We start from the raw sequence: 23,296 nt of genomic DNA on the forward strand, positions 1-23,296 counted from the left end.
CTTCTTTTGAGAAGTGTCTGTTCATACCCTTTGCCCACTTTTTGATGGGGTTGTTTGTTTTTTTCTTGTAAATTTGTTTGAGTTCATTGTAGATTCTGGATATTAGCCCTTTGTCAGATGAGTACGTTGCGGAAATTTTCTCCCATTTTATAGGTTGCCTGTTCACTCTGATGGTAGTTTCTTTTGCTGTGCAGAAGCTCTTTGGTTTAATTAGATCCCATTTGTCAATTTTTGGCTTTTGTTGCCATTGCTTTTGGTGTTTTAGACATGAAGTCCTTGCCCATGCCTGTGTCCTGAATGGTAATGCCTAGGTTTTCTTCTAGGGTTTTTATGGTTTTAGGTCTAACGTTTAAGTCTTTAATCCACCTTGAATTAATTTTTGTATACAGTGTAAGGAAGGGATCCAGTTTCAGCTTTCTACATATGGCTAGCCAGTTTTCCTAGCACCATTTATTAAATAGGGAATCCTTTCCCTATTGCTTGTTTTTCTCAGGTTTGTCAAAGATCAAATAGTTGTAGATATGCGGCGTTATTTCTGAGGGTCAAACTACCATCAGAGAATACTACAAACACCTCTACACAAATAAACTAGAAAATCTAGAAGAAATGGATAAATTCCTCGACACATACACTCTCCCAAGGCTAAACCAGGAAGAAGTTGAATCTGAATAGACCAATAACAGTATCTGAAATTGTAGCAATAATCAATAGCTTACCAACCAAAAAGAGTCCAGGACCAGATGGATTCACAGCCAAATTCTACCAGAGGTACAAGGAGGAACTGGTACCATTCCTTCTGAAACTATTCCAATCAATAGAAAAAGAGGGAATCCTCCCTAACTCATTTTATGAGGCCAGCATCATCCTGATACCAAAGCCGGGCAGAGACACAACAAAAAAAGAGAATTTTAGACCAGTATCCTTGGTGAACATTGATGCAAAAATCCTCAATAAAATACTGGCAAACCGAATCCAGCAGCACATCAAAAAGCTTATCCACCATGACCAAGTGGGCTTCATCCCTGGGATGCAAGGCTGGTTCAAGATACGCAAATCAATAAATGTAATCCAACATATACACAGAACCAAAGACAAAAACCACATGATTATCTCAATAGATGCCGAAAAGGCCTTTGACAAAATTCAACAACCCTTCATGCTAAAAACTCTCAATAAATTAGGTATTGATGGGATGTATCTCAAAATAATAAGAGCTATCTATGACAAACCCACAGCCAATATCATACTGAATGGGCAAAAACTGGAAGCATTCCCTTTGAAAACGGGCACAAGACAGGGATGCCCTCTCTCACCACTCCTATTCAACATAGTGTTGGAAGTTCTGGCCAGGGCAATTAGGCAGGAGAAGTAAATAAAGGGTATTCAATTAGGAAAAGAGGAAGTCAAATTGTCCCTGTTTGCAGCCGACATGATTGTATATCTAGAAAACCCCATTGTCTCAGCCCAAAATCTCCTTAAGCTAATAAGCAACTTCAGCAAAGTCTCAGGATACAAAATCAATGTACAAAAATCACAGGCATTCTTATACACCAATAACAGACAAACAGAGAGCCAAATCATGAGTGAACTCCCATTCACAATTGCTTCAAAGAGAATAAAATACTTAGGAATCCAACTTACGAGGGACGTGAAGGACCTCTTCAAGTAGAACTACAAACCACTGCTCAATGAAATAAAAGAGGATACAAACAAATGGAAAAATATTCCATGCTCGTGGGTAGGAAGAATCAATATTGTGAAAATGGCCATACTGCCCAAGGTAATTTATAGATTCAATGCCATCCCCATCAAGCTACCAATGCCTTTCTTCACAGAATTGGAAAAAACTACTTTAAAGTTCATATGGAACCAAAAAAGAGCCTGCATCGCCAAGTCAATCCTAAGCCAAAAGAACAAAGCTGGAGGCATCATGCTACGTGACTTCAAAGTATACTACAAGGCTACAGTAACCAAAACAGCATGCTACTGCTATCAACTCTAATTTTTTCATATTGAAATAGTTATGACAGATTGTGAGGAAAGATAGTTTATATTCCCCATGAATCAAAAGCTAAATTGTTACATCCACTTTATACCTTTTAAACTTGTTTTTTTAAAATACAGACACCATCTTGAGGTGCTGCATGATAATTTTGATCAGTTGGATATAATTTACAGATTTGATAAATTATTGATTTGGTAGCGATTATATTGGATACCATCTCTGATGTTAGACTACATTTAAATCCTGCCTCTGCTACATACTTGTCTTGTGATCTTGAGCAAGTTACATAACCTCTTCGTGCCTTAATTTTCTCATCTATAAATGGGAATAATGATAGTATTTACCTCAGAAGGTTGTTAGGATTAAATGAGTTAATGCTGTGCTGGAACAGTGCTTGGCACTTGAAAGCCAGACAACTGTTATTCAAGGGCTTAATGAATGTTTCTTCTTCCCCTCTGTATTTTAGCTTATCATTGGTTTGTTCTCATTTTCAGTATTTCTTATGTACTTCCTTATAAACCAAAGTTCATTGTTCATATAAGATAAACAGTATACATTGAAGAATCAAAACAGTTCAAAATTGTATAATGATTCACACCATGATGGAAAATCATAGTGATGAACCAGATAAGTCAGTCACGTGACTCAGGTCATCTCCACTCACTGCTGCACATGCTCTGTCAGTAGTCACTAGGTAGCTTTCAAACTGCTCTATTTTAAAGAATAAAAGTACTTAAATAATTACTTAATATATTGATTTTAATATCAGAATTAAAACAGACAATATTTACTTGTGCCTTTAATGGAATGAGCCCTCTCAATTTCTCTGTTGGACATACTGCTGTAAATGTTTTGCATCTCATATCCCTGTGTACACAGATGAGATTAGGTGAGCTGTTTGTAGCACATTTGCAGGTGATTGATTGGTTAAGATGTGAGAATGTCTCTGGTACAGAAGCCTCACACTAGTGACCTGGGCTTGAGGGATAGAATTCAGCCTCTGTCTGAGAATTATGAAGAAATAGTTTGTCACAGACCTTACTACCCATTATCGTATATGTTGATGTTTGCCCTTTAGTGCTGCCAGCCACATGCTAAGCCTTTAAGCATGAATTTCTAACCCATACCAAGGGGTCAGTCCCCTGTAGTCTAATCTTGATCCATGTTGAATGTATTGTTTTAAAAAATCCATAATTTGAAGGAAAACACCACAGCAATAACAACAGCAATAATAATGCCTTTAACAATGAAAATGAAAACAAGTTACTAGCTATCAGACACTATTCTAAGGGCCTTACATATAACTCATTTATTCCTCATAACAACAATGTGAAGTAGCTACTGTTATTTGCATCTTACAGCTCAGAAAACAAGCATGGTGAGATAAGGAAACTTTACTAAGGTCACATAACTAGTAAGTGGTGGAGCCAGCGTTGAAACTCAGGAAGTCTGTACACAACTGGGAGGGAAGGCTAATATTTGAAATGATAGACTCAACATTCAATATTTCAGTATCGATGAGCTCTAAGTTGATAGAGCTATGTGTAAAAACCCTGCATTTAATATTAAGAAATCATTGGCAGAAGAGTAAGAGAGGGCTTTGGTCAAGTAAGCTGAGTGCATAAGAAAACTCTGGCATTTGAGGTGTCCTTAGCTCCAGATGCTTTGGTAGGGCAGAGTGTATCCATGGAGGTACCATGAGCTACCATGGAGGTAGCTCAGAGAGGAAAGGGAACAGTAACAGAGGCCTGCTTGGTTTTTAAACAGTTTTGCAAAGAGTATTATTTACGTATTTATACTAAGTCTACACCAGTTTTGAGTATTTGCCTACTACAGTGTAAGCAAATGCTTACAGGAAATTAGCACACCTCTGAAAGATCTCTGCACCAAAGGAATAGAAAAGGTTGAAGAAATTATCTTAAATTCATATAGAGATTTTAATGACTTTAAATGGAATTATAATCAACTGTATTTTATCTTCTGTTATATATTCAAGTTGTATGGTTGTATATCACTTGTCCTTGTCCATTGTATTTGGGTTTCATGCTTCATGGTGTCACTTTTTTAAATAGAAAAAAATGTGAATAGTTAAAAATAAATTTTATTTGATATTTAGATAATGGTAAAAATTGAAATGATGATAAATGCTGTTTATTGCCTACTTGTGAAGGTGTCAATGTTACGTTGGTAGAGTATATATGGAATCATTTATATGATTTACAGTAAATGAAACAGAAGGTGAGGTACCACTTTCAGATGTAGTACAGTTGTCTGACTCAGATTTTAGAAATCTATTGATATTTTTAAAGCAAAACTTTTTTTAATGCTTTACATTTGAATGATGTTCTTTGTACTTGGATATTGATCCTATTTCTGATTCAGTTTTGAAAGGAATTAACATCAAGTGGACTTCATGTCACTTAACAGTGCTTTTTTGTATACATTTTTAAAGAAAATTAGTCATTTTACTTTGATTTTTGAGTTAGCAATTCACAAGCAGGTAATTAAACACTTTTAGAAGAAAAATATTGGTCTAATAATAATCTTAACTCATCTTTTTGACATAGTAAAGAAAAAGGAACTCTGCAGAAGCAAAATTTTTTAGTATGTGGCAAACAACTAAGCAACTAGATTTTTCTTGGCTTTCTTAGTATTCTTCCATAGCTTGTAATTCATTAAACATTCCTATTCAGCTTTCTATACTAATTTCATATATATATATATGTATTTTGCTTCATGAAAGCATTGCTGCTTTTCTTCTTCATCAGTAATTAGTAAACTTAGCTTCCTAACCCCTTATAACTTATGCCTTATTAACGATAGTGAACATACCAGTAAGCATTGAAATTAGTGTTACTCTGATATGTCAAACTCATTCTAGAAGTTATGCTTTTCCTTACCATTACTGTATTAGTGGACGTCCTGCAGCCTATCATTCTATTGTTCATTAAATACAGCTAATGAACCTTATTTAGAGTAATTGAAAGGGAATAATAGAAGATTTTAAGGGAATGACATTTTCTTCCAGGAGTGAACTTATAAAATATTGTTATTTGAAGGTTTTCTAGGGACTTCTTTTTAGTAAGTAAATTAGAATTAGCCCTTTCTTTATAAATTAATGCTGCTGAAATGCTTAAAATATACTTAACTTTTAAAAACATTATCTTTGATTTTATTTAAGTGTTTAATTGGCATTATCTGTGGAAGAAATGCTTTATTAACTGAGACACCACTGTGTTTCTGATATACTTATAAAAAAACTCATGAGGTTTTATTTTATTTTTCAGGTTTTGTAAATAGATATACAGGGAAATAATTAAATATAAAGAAGTAGACTATATTTAACATTAACTGGAATAGTTAACCAGTTCTATCTATACATTAGAATGTTCATCTTTTCAGACTAAGTTTACTGAAAAGATTCTTGCATTAGGTAAATTTTAGTAGATTGGACTAAGTTGAGGGAGTTAATCCCTTCTGAGCTTTTAGAATTCTAAAGCCATTGCATAGAAACTCTCTGGGAAAGACAAATGGTTAAGATATGTAGCCACAGGCTCCTGTTTGGATTTGTATTGACATCAAAAAGAAGATGATAATGATGGATCTTACATGTTTATTTGAAGGCTCTCAGAAAGAGGATACATTCTAGATTTATCCTTTATTTCAGAAGGTAGCATTAGCAAGTGGGAAGAGGAGAATGGTGAAGGAAGGCATAAGTGGGAGAAAGTGGAGAAGGTGACAGGTGGAAGGCAGAGGCAAACTGTCTTGGAAGCAGCTTTTAGCTCAAATTAAGATATCTTAAGGGGAGAATTACCCAACAAAAGAACAAACTACTTAATGCAGTCATGGGGTTTTACTTCTCTACAGTTACTTCTTTTTTAAATATAGGTTGAAGAAGGAAGTAAAAATATACGGCTAGGTTCACTAATTGGTTTGATAGTAGAAGAAGGAGAAGATTGGAAACATGTTGAAATTCCCAAAGACGTAGGTCCTCCACCACCAGTTTCAAAACCTTCAGAGCCTCGCCCCTCACCAGAACCACAGATTTCCATCCCTGTCAAGAAGGAACACATACCCGGGACACTACGGTGAGTATATATTTATTCAAAGGATGATGTAAAAAAAAAAAGTTATGGCAGTTCTTATGGAATTGTAATCATTATCATATTCGCACATCGTTGTACATCACGTAGGAAGTTGCTGTTCTCAGCACACTCAGACCTTAGAGTGTGTGTTTTTTTTTTTAACCATCATTGTTCATTCAGTAAATAAATAGTTACTGAATATCTGCTATGTTCCAGGTACTCTAAAAGCCCTGCTTGCACAATGGAAAACCAAACAGTATGTGTCCATGTTGAGGTTGAATTAGGTTTTAGAAGTCTAAAATGGTATTCAATATACCAAACTTGATACTCTGTTCCCATTTATGGAGTTCTAATTACTGTTACAGGAATTCCAAGCTCAAATGTCTATCTGATATAAAATAGAATTCATGTTTTAACATGCATTCGTTTTCAAACTAGTCTGCATTATGACTTTCCGGCACAGACTAGAGCTCAATTTTGTCTGTTCTGTAACAAAACAGATAACTTAATACACATCATTTCACTTTAGTTTTACATTGCTTTAATAGAAGAACTCTGTAAATTCTAACATTTCATTTATTTAGTATTCTATATAATTATACAACATTACTTTTTCTTTACGAGAAAAAGATCTTCATAAAGTAGACCTCTTCATTCTTAAACATTTTTTCCTTTAGTTTATCATTGTCAGAAAAGAATCCACAGTGCTTTTTTTAGGGGGGGGCGTGCGGAGGTGGGTGACGGAGTTTTGATCTCATTGTCCAGGCTGGAGTGCAATGGTGCAATCTCAGCTTACCGCAACCTCGGTCTTCTGGGTTCAAGCGATTCTCCTGCCTCAGCCTCCTGAGTAGCTGGAATTACAGGCATGTGCCACCATGCCTGGCTAATTTTTTTGTATTTTTGGTAGAGATGGAGTTTCTCCATGTTGGCCAGGCTGGTCTCGAACTCCTGACTTCATGATCCGCCTGCCTCGGCCTCCCAAAGTGCTGGGATTACAGGCGTGAGCCACTGCGCCTGGCCTGCTTTTTGAAGTACTGATTTTAAATTCCTAGTGCAGTGTTTCTGACTCTGTTGCCTTGACTCCCATTTACTGTCTCCTCTTTCATTTACCCTAAAAATTGGAAGACAGTCTCACTGATGCTTTCTAACTAATGGTCTTCTGCCCTTGCAAAGATAATAATAGTATGTACCCTAATTAAGATCAGTCATCATCAGAGACTCGCATGAATCAGGCCCCACTGTGTAGGTTAAAAACCTACTGACCTGTGAACTCTGCATACTGTTGGGCACACAGTGAATGAAAAAAAAATTTTTTTTTGGTTGGTTGGTTACTAATCCTATATAAAAATCTAAAATTTCAGATTCTCTTGAAAAATCTAAAGATTTAGTAACATTGGGCCCATATCAGAGTTATTTAATACTTCCCTGAAATGCAGCAAGTTCCACAGTTGTTTCTGTCTCTTAGCTTTAATTTCTAGATCCAGCCTGTTTTAATCTGTACTAATCAGGCTTATTTTCTTTATCTGACCATGTAGTAATTTGTTTACTACTTTGCATACAAGAGATATACCATTAGTCATGTAATCTGAGGTATCCTATATATATAATAAATATATATAATTGTGTATACATACAATTCAACCTCAGCAAAACAACCCAATTAAAAAACAGGTGAAGAACTTTAATAGCATTTCTCCCAAGAAGATACATAGATGGCCAGCAGGCACATGAAAAATATGTTCACCGTCACTAACCATTAGGGAAATGAAAATCAAAACCACAATGAGACACCCCTTCATACCCTTCAGGATGGCTAGTATCAAAACAAACAAACAAACAAAAACCAAACCAGACCCAGATTATAACAAGTGTTGGCAAGGACATGGATAATTTGGAACCCTTGTTGTTGCCTAGTGGAAGTGTAAAATGCTGCAGCTACTGTGGAAAACAGTATGGCAGTTTCTTAGAAAATTAAAATTACCATATCATCTAGTAGGTCCACTTCCAGATATATATGCAAAATAACTGAAAGCAAAGACTGGAAAGAGATATTTGTACATCTATGTTCATAGCAACATTATTCACAGTAGCAAAATGGTAGAAACAACTCATAAGTCCAAAATGCTATGAAATGTGATTCAGCTTTTTAGGAAGGAAATTCTGATAAATGCTGCATGGATAAACCTTGAGAATATTATGCTCAGTAAAATAAGCCAGTCACAAAACAAATAACTGTATGATTCTACTTATGTGAGTTACCTAGAGTAGTCAAATTGACAGAGACAAAGAGAATGGTTACCAGGGGTTGGGAGGAAGGAGGAATGGAGAGTTACTGTTTAATAGATACAGAGTTTCAATTTGGAAAGATGAACATTTCTGGAGATAGATGGTGGTGATGGTTGCACAATAGTGTGATTGTACTAAATGCCACTCAGTTGTACACCTAAAAATGCTTAAAATGATAAATTTTAGGTATCATTTGCCACAATACAAAATATATGAAGAAATGATAGAACAAAATATACGAAGGAAACAATTGGTAGTTGTGATGAGCACCCATGTGAAAGTAATTAGTTGAAATAGCAGCTCTTTCCCCTAATTAATATTTATTCTTATTAAAATCATATTTAGAAATAGTAACTAAATTTTTACGAAAGTGTTTAAAGAATAAAATAAACCAAATTGGTACAGATTATTTGACTGTGACCATCTGTGGGAGTCATTTTAGCTTTATTATAAGATTTTTTTTTAATTATTTGCGAAACTGTTGACATTTAGATCTATTTGAATCAAATGTAAGTGTTAATTGGTTCTATTAACCTTCATATTTTTTTCTTAGGTTCCGTTTAAGTCCAGCTGCCCGCAATATTCTGGAAAAACACTCACTGGATGCTAGCCAGGGCACAGCCACTGGCCCTCGGGGGATATTCACTAAAGAGTATGTGTTTGCTTTTTGTAATAACCAGTTCCATTATTTATTATGATCATGTTTTTTTGAAAGAAAATAAAAAGAGCTTATTCAGTCTTAAGATTTAAAAGGAGGTACACTGTTCTTCTTTTGTACTTTTAATTGCTTTTATCATTGTAAATTGTATTCTATGCAAGAGTTGTTTTCTGAATAATTATAGCATTACTGAAGAACAGCTCTAATTTGGTAACTAAGCAAGATCCTTAGAAGTGGTAATAAATGCAGAAAATTAGAGCGTAGAACAGTGAAACTTTATACAGTATTAAATATGTGAAATCATGCAATAACATTTACATTTCTAAAACAAGGAAATATATTTTTAAAAAATTATTTTCATTATCCCTTTGAATTTTATTCACTTGTGCTGTTATAAAGCAATTTCCATATACAGTTTGGTCTCTTTTTAGATTTTCTTTTCTATTTCACTGATCCATCTGTCCATGAGTTAGTACCATACTTTTTTAGTACCACACTTTTAATTAGAAATGTTTTATTGTATGCTTTAAAATCTGATAACAATAGCTTTGCTCTTTTTTTAAATCAGTTTTCTTAGTTCATTCTTATTTTATTATTCTTCCAAATGAATTTTAAGCAGTTCGTCTAGCTCCATGGGTAGGAGTGAGGGGTATTTTTATGGGATTGTATCACATTTTAAATTAACTTTGTGAGAACTGACATCTTTATCATGATGGGTCTTTCTGTTCTGCAACACTGGTTTAAATGTTTGTGTCTTTCCATTAGTTTAAATGTTTGTGTCTTTCAAAACAGATGGCCCCTGTTCTGTTGAAACTTAGTCTAGTAGGGTAGACAAAGATTAATCAAATAGGCTTATGAACTAATGTAAGATTTCAGTAGTGTTATGTGCTACATTTTTATTGGCAGTAATAGTAAATGTTTCAAATTGAGTTTATGTTTTAAAGCAATGTACTCATTCCATATTTATCTAATATTGATAGGAAATAAAAAATAATATTGGCCAGAATTTTTGTAAGTCGAGAGAGAGCAATGGTTGTTAAATTATAAGTGGCAGTGTTGGGCCAGGCAATGTTTTCTTTTTTCCACTGGGTTATTTTACTCTTCATGAAAGCTTTGGCTTACTGTTGGGTGTTTATTTTATTGAAAGCAGTATATAGATTTAATTCTTAGATATCCTCATTTATGTGTATTACACTCTTACTAATTTGTTAACTGAATGTATGTGGTTCTATCACACACATACTGTGAAGTTCGTGCCACACTGCATGAGTTGGAAATCAGCTGTCCTGAGAGCTGACTGAAAGGCAACATCCCAGACCATGGGATTTTTAGTTAAAGGATTTAAAAGTTACACTTAGCTGTAAAAAATTAAAATTAAGAACCTTGGTTGCCAGTTAATCCCAGTTTTTTCCCCACACCAATCCTGATTTGTGTCTACTGTTGGTATCTTAATCTTGTTAGTCTCTACCAGTCTGTGCCTTAGTAGCACTCTCTGTAAAAATGGGAGAAAGCAACTATTTTTATAACAAAGTAGATTTGCCTTGCTCATAATTCTGAGGATTAGGAATAAGAGTCTGTATTTAATTCATTAATCTTTGAGGATTTGGTGAAATGTAAAATAATGATTGCTGCACCTTAGGGGGATCAGTTCTGCAAATTTGTGTAAGATAAACTGGAGCAGAAAAAGATGAGATAAGGAGATAAATTAATAGGCTCCTAAAGTAATCCATGTAAGAGGTAATGAATACTTGAATGTGGTTAGAAGAACTAAAAGGGAGATCCCTGATACAGACAACATTGTAAGGATAAAGTCCAGAAGCCTTTGCAGATTAAATGTGGAGTGTAGGCCAGAGTAGCAACAAGTAAGGGAATGAATTTGGATCTGGTCTAGGTGATGATAGTTTGGTCTCCATAAATAGAAATAATGGATTTGGGAAGCATTTGTTTTGGTGGAGTTAGTAATGTTTGAAGCTTATTGTCAGGACTTAGAAGCCATGTAGGTATTGGGATCAATGAGATGAAGATGTATCTCAGGAGATAGTTGGGGATTAGAGAGGTAGATTTGGTAGATAATAAAGCAATAGTTATAATTGAGATCATCAATAGGGAAACTAGAGGTTAAAATCCTTGAGTTGGAGGATACCTGGGAAATGTGGGAAAAGTCAAGGATGGTAGGATCTAAGAAAAGCCTCTTAAATTTGGTAATATGGTGTTCAGTAGTGTGACAGCAGTAAAATAAAGAAATAAAGGTTTCTTCCTTCCTTTTCTTTCCATGTGTGCTTAATACATATATGATGCGCAAATATCTTTTTTTAAACCTGAGTTGAAAGTTATAATATTAATGAAACATTTCTTAAGAACAAAATGGTATTATCTCCTGAATACCATAAGGAAGCAGTATTAAAGAGTTAGGCTTTTAGTATTATTGCCATCTTTTCTACCCTGTTACCCTTTTCTCTTCCCTGCCTTTATTCCTTAACTCTCCACGAGAAAGGCATCAGCCTTTGGTCTTCAAAATAAGAACTAGTACAAAAGATTTCATGAGAAAAATGGATCCTGAAAGCATATATTATTGAGGATTTTTGCTTTTCTATACTGCTAAAAATGCCTGCATTTTAAGTTTATCATTAAGGTGAGCTTTGGAAAAAATTTTAGCCTAATGTCGTCTTCTGCTATGGTTGAAAAATTGCAGGCTTTGGCATAGCTGTCCCCAAAATATCTTAGCACACTTTTTTATTTTTTAACGTTTTGAATTTTTTTTTCTTTAAGAGAGAGACAGGCTCTCACTCTGTCACCCAGGTTGGGGTGCTGTGGTGTATTCATAGCTCACTGCAGCTTTGAACTCCTAGGCTGAAGTGGTCCTATCACCTCAACCTCCCAAATAGTTGGGACTACAGGTGTGCCACCATGCCTGGCTAAATTTTTAAAACAGTTTTGTAGAGACGGTTTCTCACTAGGTTGCCCAGGCTGGTCTCAAGCTCTTGGCCTCAGGTGACCCTCCCACCTCAGCCTCTCGAAGTGCTGGGAATGCAGACGTGAGCCACTGTGCCCAGCCAACACACGTTCTTGACACGGTGAGGACATGCTCCATACCATGTCCACTAAAAGTCTGGGTAGAAAAATCAGTTCCAAATGCTGAAGGAAATGCCTCCAGCCCACTGTATTTGTGAAGAAAATCTTGGGTATCAGGGCTGCTATTTTAATTTTGCCTTAAAACAAGCATTGCTCAGAATACATGTTGTACCAAAGAATATAGACTTGACTTTGCTTGTACATGTGACTGTTTTAAGAAAGCAGTGTCGAGGCCACAATTAGAAGCAGAACACATTTAGTTTCTTTGCCTGCAGCCCCAATGTCTTTGGTACATCTGTGTCCTAAATCATAGTTGTAGTAATGTTTGTATTCATCACACAGCATCAAAAATTAGGTAAGTATGACAGGCAAGTGCCTAGTGTGTTTTAGTGGTATTTTCAAAATGAATTCATGTCACACCCAAATGAATTGCTCTCTCAGGGAACCCAGTAGAGAAGGTTGTACCTGAGTTAACTTCCAGAGCATCCTCTGCCTATCTGCCTATTTCTGCCAGTGGCCAGAATGAATTTGTGTGGTATATTTTTCTCCTAATTTTTATAGCTTTTAATGTCTACCTAATGCTCCAAGTTTAGTCTGATTATTTAATGTGCAGAAATCATTAAAACCATTTTCTGCCTCACAAAAAACTAAATCATTGGCTGTTACTAAACAATAATTAAGATTTATACTTCATAGGTATGTAAGTATAAAATCAGCAATAAAAAGACCAGGTGCAGTGACTCACACCTGTAATCCCAGTGCTTTGGGAGACCAAGGCTGGCGAATCACTTGAGGCCAGGAGTTTGAGACCAGTCTGGCCAACATGGTAAAACCCCATCTCTACTAAAAATATAAAAATTAGCCAGGCGTGGTGATGCACACCTGTAATCTCAGCTACTAAAGAGGCTGAGGCATGAGAATCTCTTGAACCCTGGAGGCGGTGGTTGCAGTGAGCTGAGATCGCGCCACTGCACTCCAGCCTGGGTGACAGAGTGAGACTCTTTAAAAAATAAAAAAAAAATAAAATCAGCAATACAAGTTTTTGTGAGCAAGAAGAAGCAATTTTGTTCTTGCTTCTTTATGATTAACCTACCCAAGAACCTTAATTACTACAGAGATAAAACTAAACTGCTTTTTAAAAAATAAAGTAGCAGTAATAGTTATGCTAAATATGTAATATTAGCATAACTAATATTAGCTATTAGCATAACTAATATTAGCTATTAGCATAACTAATATTAGCTAGCTATTAGCATATTATTAGCATAACTAAATATTACATATTACTAAATATGCTAATAAGTAATAGTTATGCTAAAAATGTGTCAATTTAGTGTCAGCAACCTTTTTTTTAAATAGATGTATTCGGGCATTAACGATACAGATTTTTGCACCCCAGTTAGACTGTTCCTGCTTGTGTTGATATTCTATTATTGCATAACAAGTTACAGTAAACTTACCAGCTTAAAATAATACCTGTTTGTTTTCTAACAGTTCAATAGGTTAGAAGTCCTGGCATAGCATGGCCAGGTTCTGAACTCATGGTCTCACAAGGCTGAAATCAAAGTGTTGGCCAAGGCTGGGGACTCATGTGAAGCTTGGGGTCCTCTTCCAAGCTCATGTGGTTGTTGACAGAATGCAGTTCCTTGGGACTGTAGGACTGTGGCCCTTGTTTTCTTTCTAGCTCTCAGCCAAGAACCACTGACAGCTCCCAGAGGCCACGTGCAGGGCCTTGCCATGCGTGGTCTCCATAGGCGGTTCACAACATGCATGTTTGCTTCTCCCGGGCCAGCAGTTTTATCTCTTTACTTCAAGTCTCTTCTTCCAGGAAGGCCTAATTTCTTTTAAGAGATTACCTGATATATCTGCCCTCTCCAGGGTAGTTTGCCTTTTGGTTAACTCAAATGCAACTGATTTGGAGCCTCATATATCTATAAAATGCCACCAATTTTGTCACATAATAGGACCTAATAATGGGAGTGACATCCATCATATTCACAGGCCAGATACAGTCAAGAGGGATGATATGGGGCATGTACACCAGGGGCAGGAATATTGGGGCCATCTCAGAATTCTTCCTACCATGTTGCCATAAGTAAAGGGGTCTTCTCAAATATGCTCAACAGGTGCTAGCTTTTATCTTTCATCAAATTTTTGGAAAAATAATACCAAAATATTAACTGAGAAATAATTTTTCCTTAGATTTTGTGTCATCCTGAAGTTCTTTTTAGATTATATAAAACAATTTTTTTTCTTAAATTGGAAAAAATACTTTCCAAAATACTTATTGGATATTAAAATGTTCCAAAAATTATTTTAAGAAAATATATTGCCTAATACCACTGTAACTTAGCATAGTGAGTTGAGGGCTTAGCATATTTAGTAATCTAATTATATCCTCTTACAAGACAAAAATACCTTTGTTTTACAGAGTAATACAAAGGCAAGTCTGTAACTAGTTATTTTTCATTCTAAAAGATATCATAGGTTAGATTTGTTATATTAGATTGTACTGATGGCATATTAGCAAAATTAAAAATGGTTTGATTTCCTGGTCATAAATAAGCTGATTTGCACTATAATAAACAATGAATAAACAATAAGTGAACAATGATGTAGGAAGTATCCTGGTGAAAGCCATATTTACAATAAACTTGACACTTTTTGAATGCCATGTGAATATTATTTCATGAGTATAAAGGATGAGAGTGGTTTAATTAATTGTTCATCTACCAAATAACGTCCACTGCACAGAAAAAAAGACTAATTTCCTTTTTAAAAATCACTACTTATGCCCAATTTTAATAACATTTTAATTGTTTGGCTTTTGAAAATATGCAAATATTAGAACGTGACAAATAATGGTCAGCAGACCAGGTAAGAGACAGGATTTAATTTTCTAGCTCAAATTACTGGTTTTTAATTATAACCTTGACATCTGTATATTTCTGTATCTTTTCTCCACATCTCACCTGCGTTTTCTGAAAGTTCTGTTATATTCCTTATTGCTAATTATGGTTATCTACTTTGCTCTTATTTCCAGGGATGCTCTCAAACTTGTCCAGTTGAAACAAACGGGCAAGATTACCGAGTCCAGACCAACTCCAGCCCCCACAGCCACTCCCACAGCACCTTCGCCCCTACAGGCCACAGCTGGACCATCTTATCCCCGGCCTGTGATCCCACCAGTATCAACTCCTGGACAACCCAATGCAGTGGTAGTGTTCTCTAAGTGGATTTTTATTTCTTTTTCTTGTTTTTCTTTTTTTTTTTGAGACAGAGTCTTGCACTGTCACCCAGGCTGGAGTGCAATGGCACAATCTTGGCTCACTGCAGCCTCTGCCTCCCAAGTTCAAGTGATTCTCCTGCCTTAGCTTCCTGAGTAGCTGGGATTATAGGCACGCACCACCACACCCACCTAATTTTTGTATTTTTAGTAGAGACGGGGTTTCACCATGTTGGCTAGGCTGGTCTCAAACTCCTGACTTCAGGTGATCCACCCGCCTTGGCCTCCCAAAGTGCTGGGATTACAGGTGTGAATCACCGCACCTGGCCTAGATTTTTATTTTTCAGATTCAAGTGTGAGAGAGAAAATAAGAACAATTACTATGTGTTTTAAGAGTAGATTTAAAACAGATTAGTTTTATTAATCCGTTTCAATAGTAGCTAAGTGATAAGGATAAAACACTCCAAATGCTTTGTTTTACAGATTTCCTATCAGAAACCAAAATTTGTTTGTGTGTTAACTTCCAAATAAACATTAGAACTATAATTCAATTTAAAGTTACCACAAGTTCCACAACTTCAGTAACATATATATTCTCTACAATCTCATGTTTCATGTCTTAAGTGTGATACTAATAATTAGTAGCTGACACTAGCTCCCTTTTGTGGATATGTTCTACTTTTTAACTAGGGAATTGATAATCTCACTATGAAGAACTATGTAGCTAGTCATTCTTTCCTTCTCAGATGCATGCAGTATAACAGCCCCTTTTTGTTTTCAAATTACTCCATTTTGCCTCTCTGTGCCTTTCCTATTCAGGTTATTTTCTTCCTATCAGAAGAAATGTAGGATAGCCCAGTTTATTTAAAATCGAATGGGCACTTAAAAAAATAAATAGATAAATGTGTACTCCTAGTGGAGAACTATATACCATATGATATTTTAAAAGAGTTGAAAACAGTACAACTTTCATGGGAAACAGATTTTTAAATATCCATTAATGATTAATATACTGCATACTTGAATAACCTGCTCTTTAAGGACATGCAGTTGGATAAGATACTATGTATATTGAGTGTATAGTCCACTCTTTGACTATATAATGTATATGGACTATGAAATATGTATAATTCAATCATATGTCTTTTAAAAGTAGGTTATTCAAGGCTGGGTGTGGTGGCTTACACCTGTAATCCTAGCACTTTGGGAGGCTGAGGTGGGAGGATTGCCTGCACCTAGGCATTCAAAGACCAGCCTGGGCAACATAGTGAGACCTCATCTCTACAAAAAAATTTTAAAATCAGCTGGATGTGGTAGTGTGTGCCTGTAGTCCAACTACTCAGGCGGTGGAGATTGGGGAATCACTTGAGACTGGGAGGTTGAGGCTGTAGTGAGCTATGTGCACTCCAGCCTGGGTAATAGAGGAAGACCCTATCTCAAAAAAAAAAAAAAAAAGTTATTCAAATTAAGGAGGTAAACCTTACTTTCAAATTCTTATGGTATGTAGAGAGCATTTATTCTACTTGACCAAGTACTTTGCTAACATAAAATGTTTAATTTCTTAATGATATTTGTAAAAATGAAATCAGCCGCACTTTCATTTGCTTTGTATTATCTTGAAGTGATTGTAATGAAATCCCAAAATAGAGTGAAGGACAAGAAAGGAATTAGATATAATTTAAAATCTGTCATGCTTTTTTGAGAGATCCAAGGAACAGAATGGAAAAACTACAGTGAAGTTATAGGAATATTTTATTATCTCATTCATACTTTCTATTATGAATCTGTAAGAAATAAGATACTCATGTTATTTTTAAAAATTACAAATCCAAATAGAAATAATTGAATTGCCTGTATAGAAGGTCCCTAATCTTCTAATGTCCCTTGTGATTTCTTTGATCCATGAGTTGTTTATAAGTGTGAATTTAATTTCAAAATATTGGAAGACCCTTCAGTTACCTTTCATGATTTCTAGTTTAACTCCACTGTGTTTAGAGAATACACTTTGAGACACACTTCATTTTAAAACAATCTTCTCAAATTTATTGAGATTTATTTTATATTTATAACATGGCCTGTCTTGGTGGATGTTCCATGTGTACTTGAAAAGATGGTTCGACTTATAATTTTTTGACTTCACGATGGTGTAAAAGTGATACACATTCAGTAGAAAGCAGTGCAGTATTTCCTTGCAATGCTGGGCAGTAGCGGCTAGCCACAGCTCCAAGTTAGCCATGTGATCATCAGGGCAAACAACCACTGCTCTGCAGTGTACTGTGTAGCCAGGTGATTTTGCCCAACTATAGGCTAATGTAAATGTTTTGAGCACATTTATGGTAGGCTATGCTAAGGCTTACCTGTGATGTTCAGTATGTTAGGTGTATTAAATGCACTTTGACTTATGATATTTTAAACTTACGATGGGTTCATCAGAGTGTCACTTCATCATAAGTCAAAGGGCAACTATATATTAATAGTTGGTTTGTTGATTTATTGGCTGTTTTATTTCAGGTGGTTTTTTTTCTTTTTTTTTTTTTTCCCGAAACAATCTTGCTCTGTCGCCCAGGCTGGAGTGCAGTGGCGCGATCTTGGCTCAGTGCAACCTCTGTCTCCCCGGTTCAAGTGATTCTGCTGCCTCAGCCTCCTGAGTAGCTGGGATTACAGGCACGCGCCACCACACTCAGCTAATTTTTGTATTCTTAGTAGAGATGGGGTTTCACCATGTTGGCCAAGCTGGTCTTGAACTCTTGACCTCATGATCCACCTGCCTCAGCCTCCCAAAGTAATCCTGAGATTACAGGTGTGAGCCACCGTGCCCAGCCCATTTCAGTTTTATTAAGTGATATTTGTAACAAAAGCTGCTTACAGATGGTGTATGTCTATGTCTGTCTTCTCTCTCCTCTCTCTCTCTGTGTATGTATGTACACACACATATATTGCTCCTTGTGTGTGTGTGGTATGTGTGTGTGTACGTATATATACACACACAAACACACCTGTGAAGGAATTGTTCATTATTTGGTAGGTTTCTTTCTTATCATCTTAAATATAGTAACATAAGATATCCCATTCACAATTGAAACATGAATTTTATTACTTTTTTCTGTAGTTATATGCTATAAAACCAAAGCGTCTCAGATTTTTTATATTCTTCCCTTATACTAAGAATTTTAATAGTGCTTTTCTTGTGTTAATCTTTAATTAATAAGTTAGGTCATTGAGAATGAATTTCTTTTCATTTATAAAGTTGCTTGTTTTTTGTTTTATTTTTCTATTCCACTTGTGGTTTAACGGACAGGTTGCTGTCTTTTTGCAGGGCACATTCACTGAAATCCCCGCCAGCAATATTCGAAGAGTTATTGCCAAGAGATTAACTGAATCTAAAAGTACTGTACCTCATGCATATGCTACTGCTGACTGTGACCTTGGAGCTGTTTTAAAAGTTAGGCAAGATCTGGTCAAAGGTTAGTAAAATTGAATTTACTTAATACAAAACACATGCTAACTTAACTTTCATGAAATCCTTTATAAAATTATAAAATTAAAAGCTACATTGTGTAGCTTTTAATTTCAATTTCATAATGTACTTGCACTCTACTCTGGGTATATTTGTGCTAGAGGAAAAAAATTAGCAATGGTTTCCTTGAAAAAGTGAATTGGTTCCACAGTATTAAATAAATCACAGATGCCTTTATGCAGAAAAAAGCATTCTGTTCTACCTTGCTTTTATTTCCTCTTTGTCATATTTGAATAATGTACAGTTAGTTAACATTTATTTAGCAGGCAATTACTGAGTTCAATTCTCTGTTACATACTGAGCTTTAAAAATACAGGTTGAGCAACCCAAAACCAAAACTTCAAAGTGCTTCAAGATGTGAAACTTTTTGAGTGCCAACATGAAGCTCAAAGGAAGTCCTCATTGGAGCTTTTCAGATTTTGGATTTTTGGACTAGAGATGCCAAAACAGTAAATGTAATATTACAAAATCTGAATAAATTTTGAAATCTGAAACACTTCTGGTTCCAAGTATTTTGGATAAGGGATACTGAAATCTGAAGTACTATAATTTGGTTGGTTAGTTTTTTTAAAAGCAAAAGTGGGCTTAATGTTTTGGTGTGCTTTAGCATTTACATAGGTCAATTTTTTTGTAAGAACACATGAATGAGTTGTGTAGACCAAATGGTTATTTTTTGTTTTGAATATTTTTTGGTATGGTATTTAAACAAAGCAGTCAATATTTCATTAAGTTTAAAATCCAAAACTTTTAAGGATGTTTTAGATTATAAATATCTTATATATTCTTCTTTATACAAATTTTGATTTTATATTTCTTGTTCAGAATGCATTTACAGATTATTAAATTTGTAATATTTCTTCCAAAAATCAATTATAAATAAGGTTGCTGAGAGACATACAGATTTTTTAGCATGAACTGATAGTTTTATTTCTTTATTTTTGACCTATATGGCCTTTATATTATTTTCTTGTCTTATTGCACTGACTAGGACCTCTGTCTGGTATAATGAATATAGATGGTAAAAGCAGATATTTTTGCCTTGTTCTTGATTTTGGGGGAAAAGCATTCAGTCTTTTATGTTAGCTATAGGTTTTTTGTAGAATATTATTTTCAGGTTGAAAGAATTTCCATTCCTAACTTGCAGAGAGTTTTAAACATGAATAGATGTTGAATTTTCTCAAATACTTTTTGTGCATCTTTTCAGATAACTTTTCCTTTTTCTGTCTGTTAATAAGGTGAATTACATTGGTTGATTTTCAAATGTTGAATCAACTTTGTATTCCTCATATAAAATCCACTTAATGATTAACCTTCTCATATATTGTTTGATTCTGTATCCTAAAATTTTGTTTAGAATCTTTACACCTATGCCCATGAGAAATGCTAACCTGTAGTTTTCTTTTCTGGAGACATTTTTTCAGATTTGTTATCTTATCTAGTGGAATGGGTTGGAAAACATGTCCTCCTCCTTTATTTTCTGGAAGAGTTTGGATACAATTGGTATTATTTCTTTTTTAATTGTTTAGTAGAATTCACTAGTGAATTTCTTTATGGGAAGGTTTTTAACTATGAATTTTATTTTAAAAATGGGTGCAGCTTTTTTTTTCTTGAATGAATTTTGGTAGTTTGTGTCTTTCAAGAAATTTGTGTCATCTAAGTCACCAGATTTATTGGCATAAAGTTATTCACCACATTACCTTATTATACTGTCATTTTATCTGAAGTAATGTTTCTGTTTTTGACATTAGTAATTTGTGTGTTTTACTCTCTAGATCACTCTGACTAAAGGGTTATCAGTTCTGTTGATCTCGATCTCTTCAAAGAACCAGCATTTGGTTTTATTAACTTATCTAGTATTTCTGTGATACTGATCTCATTGATTTCTGTTCTTTATTTTTTTTTTCTCTTTGCTTTCAGTTTACTTTGCTCTTTTATTTCTAGTTTCTTAAGGTGAAAAGTTGGATCATTTATTTGAGACCTTTATTTTTTAATATAAGCATATAGTACTCTTGAATTATCTTTAAGCACTGCTTTAGCTGTATCCCACAAATGTTGATTTTTTTTTTTTTTCTTCTTGAGACAGGGTCTTGCTGTGTCACCCAGGCTGGAGTGCAGTGGTGCGATCTCGGTTCACTTCAACCACCGCCTCCTGGGTTCAAATGATTCTCACGCCTCAGTGCCCTGAGTAGCTAGGATTACAGGCACAAACCACCATGCCTGGCTAATTGTTTGTATTTTTACTAGAGACGGTGTTTTAGCATGTTGGCCACGCTGGTCTCAAACTCCTGGCCTCAAGTGATCCACCCACCTAGGCCTCCCAAAGTGCTGAAATTACAAGTGTGAGCCACCACGCCTGGCATTATTTTTCCTTTTATTCAATTAAAAATGTTTTCTCATTTATTTATTTTGTGATTTCTTTGATCGATGAGTTATTTGTAAGTGTGCACTTAATTTCAAAATATTTGAGAACTATTCATTTCTCTTTTATGATTTCTAGCTTAACTACATTGTGTTTAGAGAACACACTTTATATGATTTCAGTTTTCTTAAATTTGTTGATATTTATTTTATGTTTGTAGTATGGTCTGTCTTGGTATGTGTTCTTGAAAAGAATTTTTTTATTTTTGCAAAGGAATGTTCTATAAATGTCAGGCCAAGCTGGTTAATAGTGTTGTTTATGTCTTTTGAGAGCAGTGTTGATATTCCTCATTATAATTGTTTATTTGTGGTTTCTCCTTTCAGCTCTGTCGGTTTTTGCTTCATGTATCCTGAAGATCTATTATTGGCCACATACACAGTTAGGAATTTTGTTTTCTTGAACAGACCAGTTATTATGTCATGTCCTTATCTATTCCTTGTAATATTCCTTATCCTCAAGCCTTCTTTATCACATCTGTAGCCACTGCAGATTTCTTTGACTCGTGTTTCTATAGTATATCTTTTTGCATCTTTTTACTTTTTAAATGTAAATATGTTTATTTAAGTAGGTTTCTTGAAGGCAGCGTGTAGTTGGTTCTTGCTATTTTATCCAATTCTTTAGTCTCTTAAGATGTTTAGACCGCTCACATTTAATGGGATAGTTGGATTTAAATCTACCATTTTGTTCTTTCTTTGCATTCTCTTTGTCCCACCTCTTTTATTCTTCTTTCCTTATCTTTTTGGTTACTTATTTTGTTATCATTCTATTGTATTTATTCATTTTATCTTCTTTTTTCTCTTCTTACCTGCTTTGCAATGGTTTTCTTAGGGTTTACAATGTAATTCTTTAATTTATCACGGCCTGGCTTCAAATTGTATTACACCCCACTCCATGTTTAATATAAGAACCTCATAACTATATACTTGCACTTCCTCCCTCTCATATTTTGTACTGCTGTTGTCATGTTTTACTTCTATATATGATGTAAGCCCCAGAATACATGTTTAATGTTTTTTGCTTTAGCAAATAAACTCTTTTGGAGTTTTAAAATGAGGGAAAAAATGTCTTTTATATTTATCTGTACTTTTTTTCATTTCTTTGTATAGAATTAAAGTGCTGTCTGCTATTATACTTCTACCCAAAGAACTTCCTTTAATGCTTCTTATAGTACAGATTGACTGACAATAAATTTTCTCAGTTTTTGTCTGAAAAAGTCTATTTTGTCTTTCACATTGTTCCTTTTTAAAACAATTTTTTAAAGTGTAGTTGAATATATAACATGAGTCTTACCATTTTCCGTGTACAGTTAGTTCGTTGACATTAAGTACATTTACATTGTTTGCAACCATTGCCACCATTCATCTGCAGAACGTTTTTCATCCTGCAAAATGGAAACTCTGTATACTCTTCATTCCTCTTTCCCACCACCCCTGACAATCACCATTCTTCTTTCTGTTCCTATAAATTTGATGATTCTAAGTACATCATATTAGTGGGATCATATAGTACTTGTCCTTTTGTGACTGGCTTATTCCACTTGGCATTATGTCTTCAGGGTTCATGCATGTTGCAGAATGTATAAAAATTTCCTTTTTAAGGCTGAACAGTGTTCCATTGTATGTATCTACCCTACTTTGTTAATTCATGTGTTAATGGATAAATACATTAGGTTGTTTTTACCTTTTGGCTATTGTGAATAATACTGCTGTGAACGTGGCTGTACAAATATCTCTTTGTGTCTCTGTTTTCAAATATTTTAGGTATATCCCCAGAAGTGGAATTACTGGATTATATGATAATTCTATTTTTAATTTTTTAAGGAGCTACCATACTGTTTTCCTTAGTGGCTGTGCCATTTTGCATTCCCACTAATGGCGCACCAATGGGTCAGGCATGATGGCTCATCCCTGTAATCCTATCACTTTGGGAGGCTGAGGACAGGGGTTCGAGACCTGCCTGGGAAACAGAACGAGACCCTATCTCTACAAAAAAATTGAAAAACTAGTCGGGCAGATGGCATATGCCTGT

General features: G+C 34.9%; 1 protein-coding gene across 4 annotated transcripts in view; it reads left to right on the top strand.

Annotated features, from left to right (window-relative positions):
- PDHX (pyruvate dehydrogenase complex component X) overlaps positions 1-23,296 on the top strand; it is an 80,209-nt gene that overhangs the window by 35,571 nt on the left and 21,342 nt on the right. For 3 of the 4 annotated variants that reach the window (XM_011520390.2, NM_001135024.2, NM_003477.3), the window contains exons 4-7: positions 5,894-6,093; positions 8,930-9,028; positions 15,150-15,324; positions 18,649-18,796. The exons of the other annotated variant lie outside the window; for it this stretch is intronic. In XM_011520390.2, coding sequence (XP_011518692.1) covers positions 5,894-6,093; positions 8,930-9,028; positions 15,150-15,324; positions 18,649-18,796 — 622 coding nt within the window. The remainder of the gene's footprint in view (positions 1-5,893; positions 6,094-8,929; positions 9,029-15,149; positions 15,325-18,648; positions 18,797-23,296) is intronic. 4 annotated transcript variants of the gene reach the window in all.

This window comes from Homo sapiens, chromosome 11 (genome assembly GCF_000001405.40).
Source record: "Homo sapiens chromosome 11, GRCh38.p14 Primary Assembly".
Taxonomy (NCBI): Eukaryota; Metazoa; Chordata; class Mammalia; order Primates; family Hominidae; genus Homo; species Homo sapiens.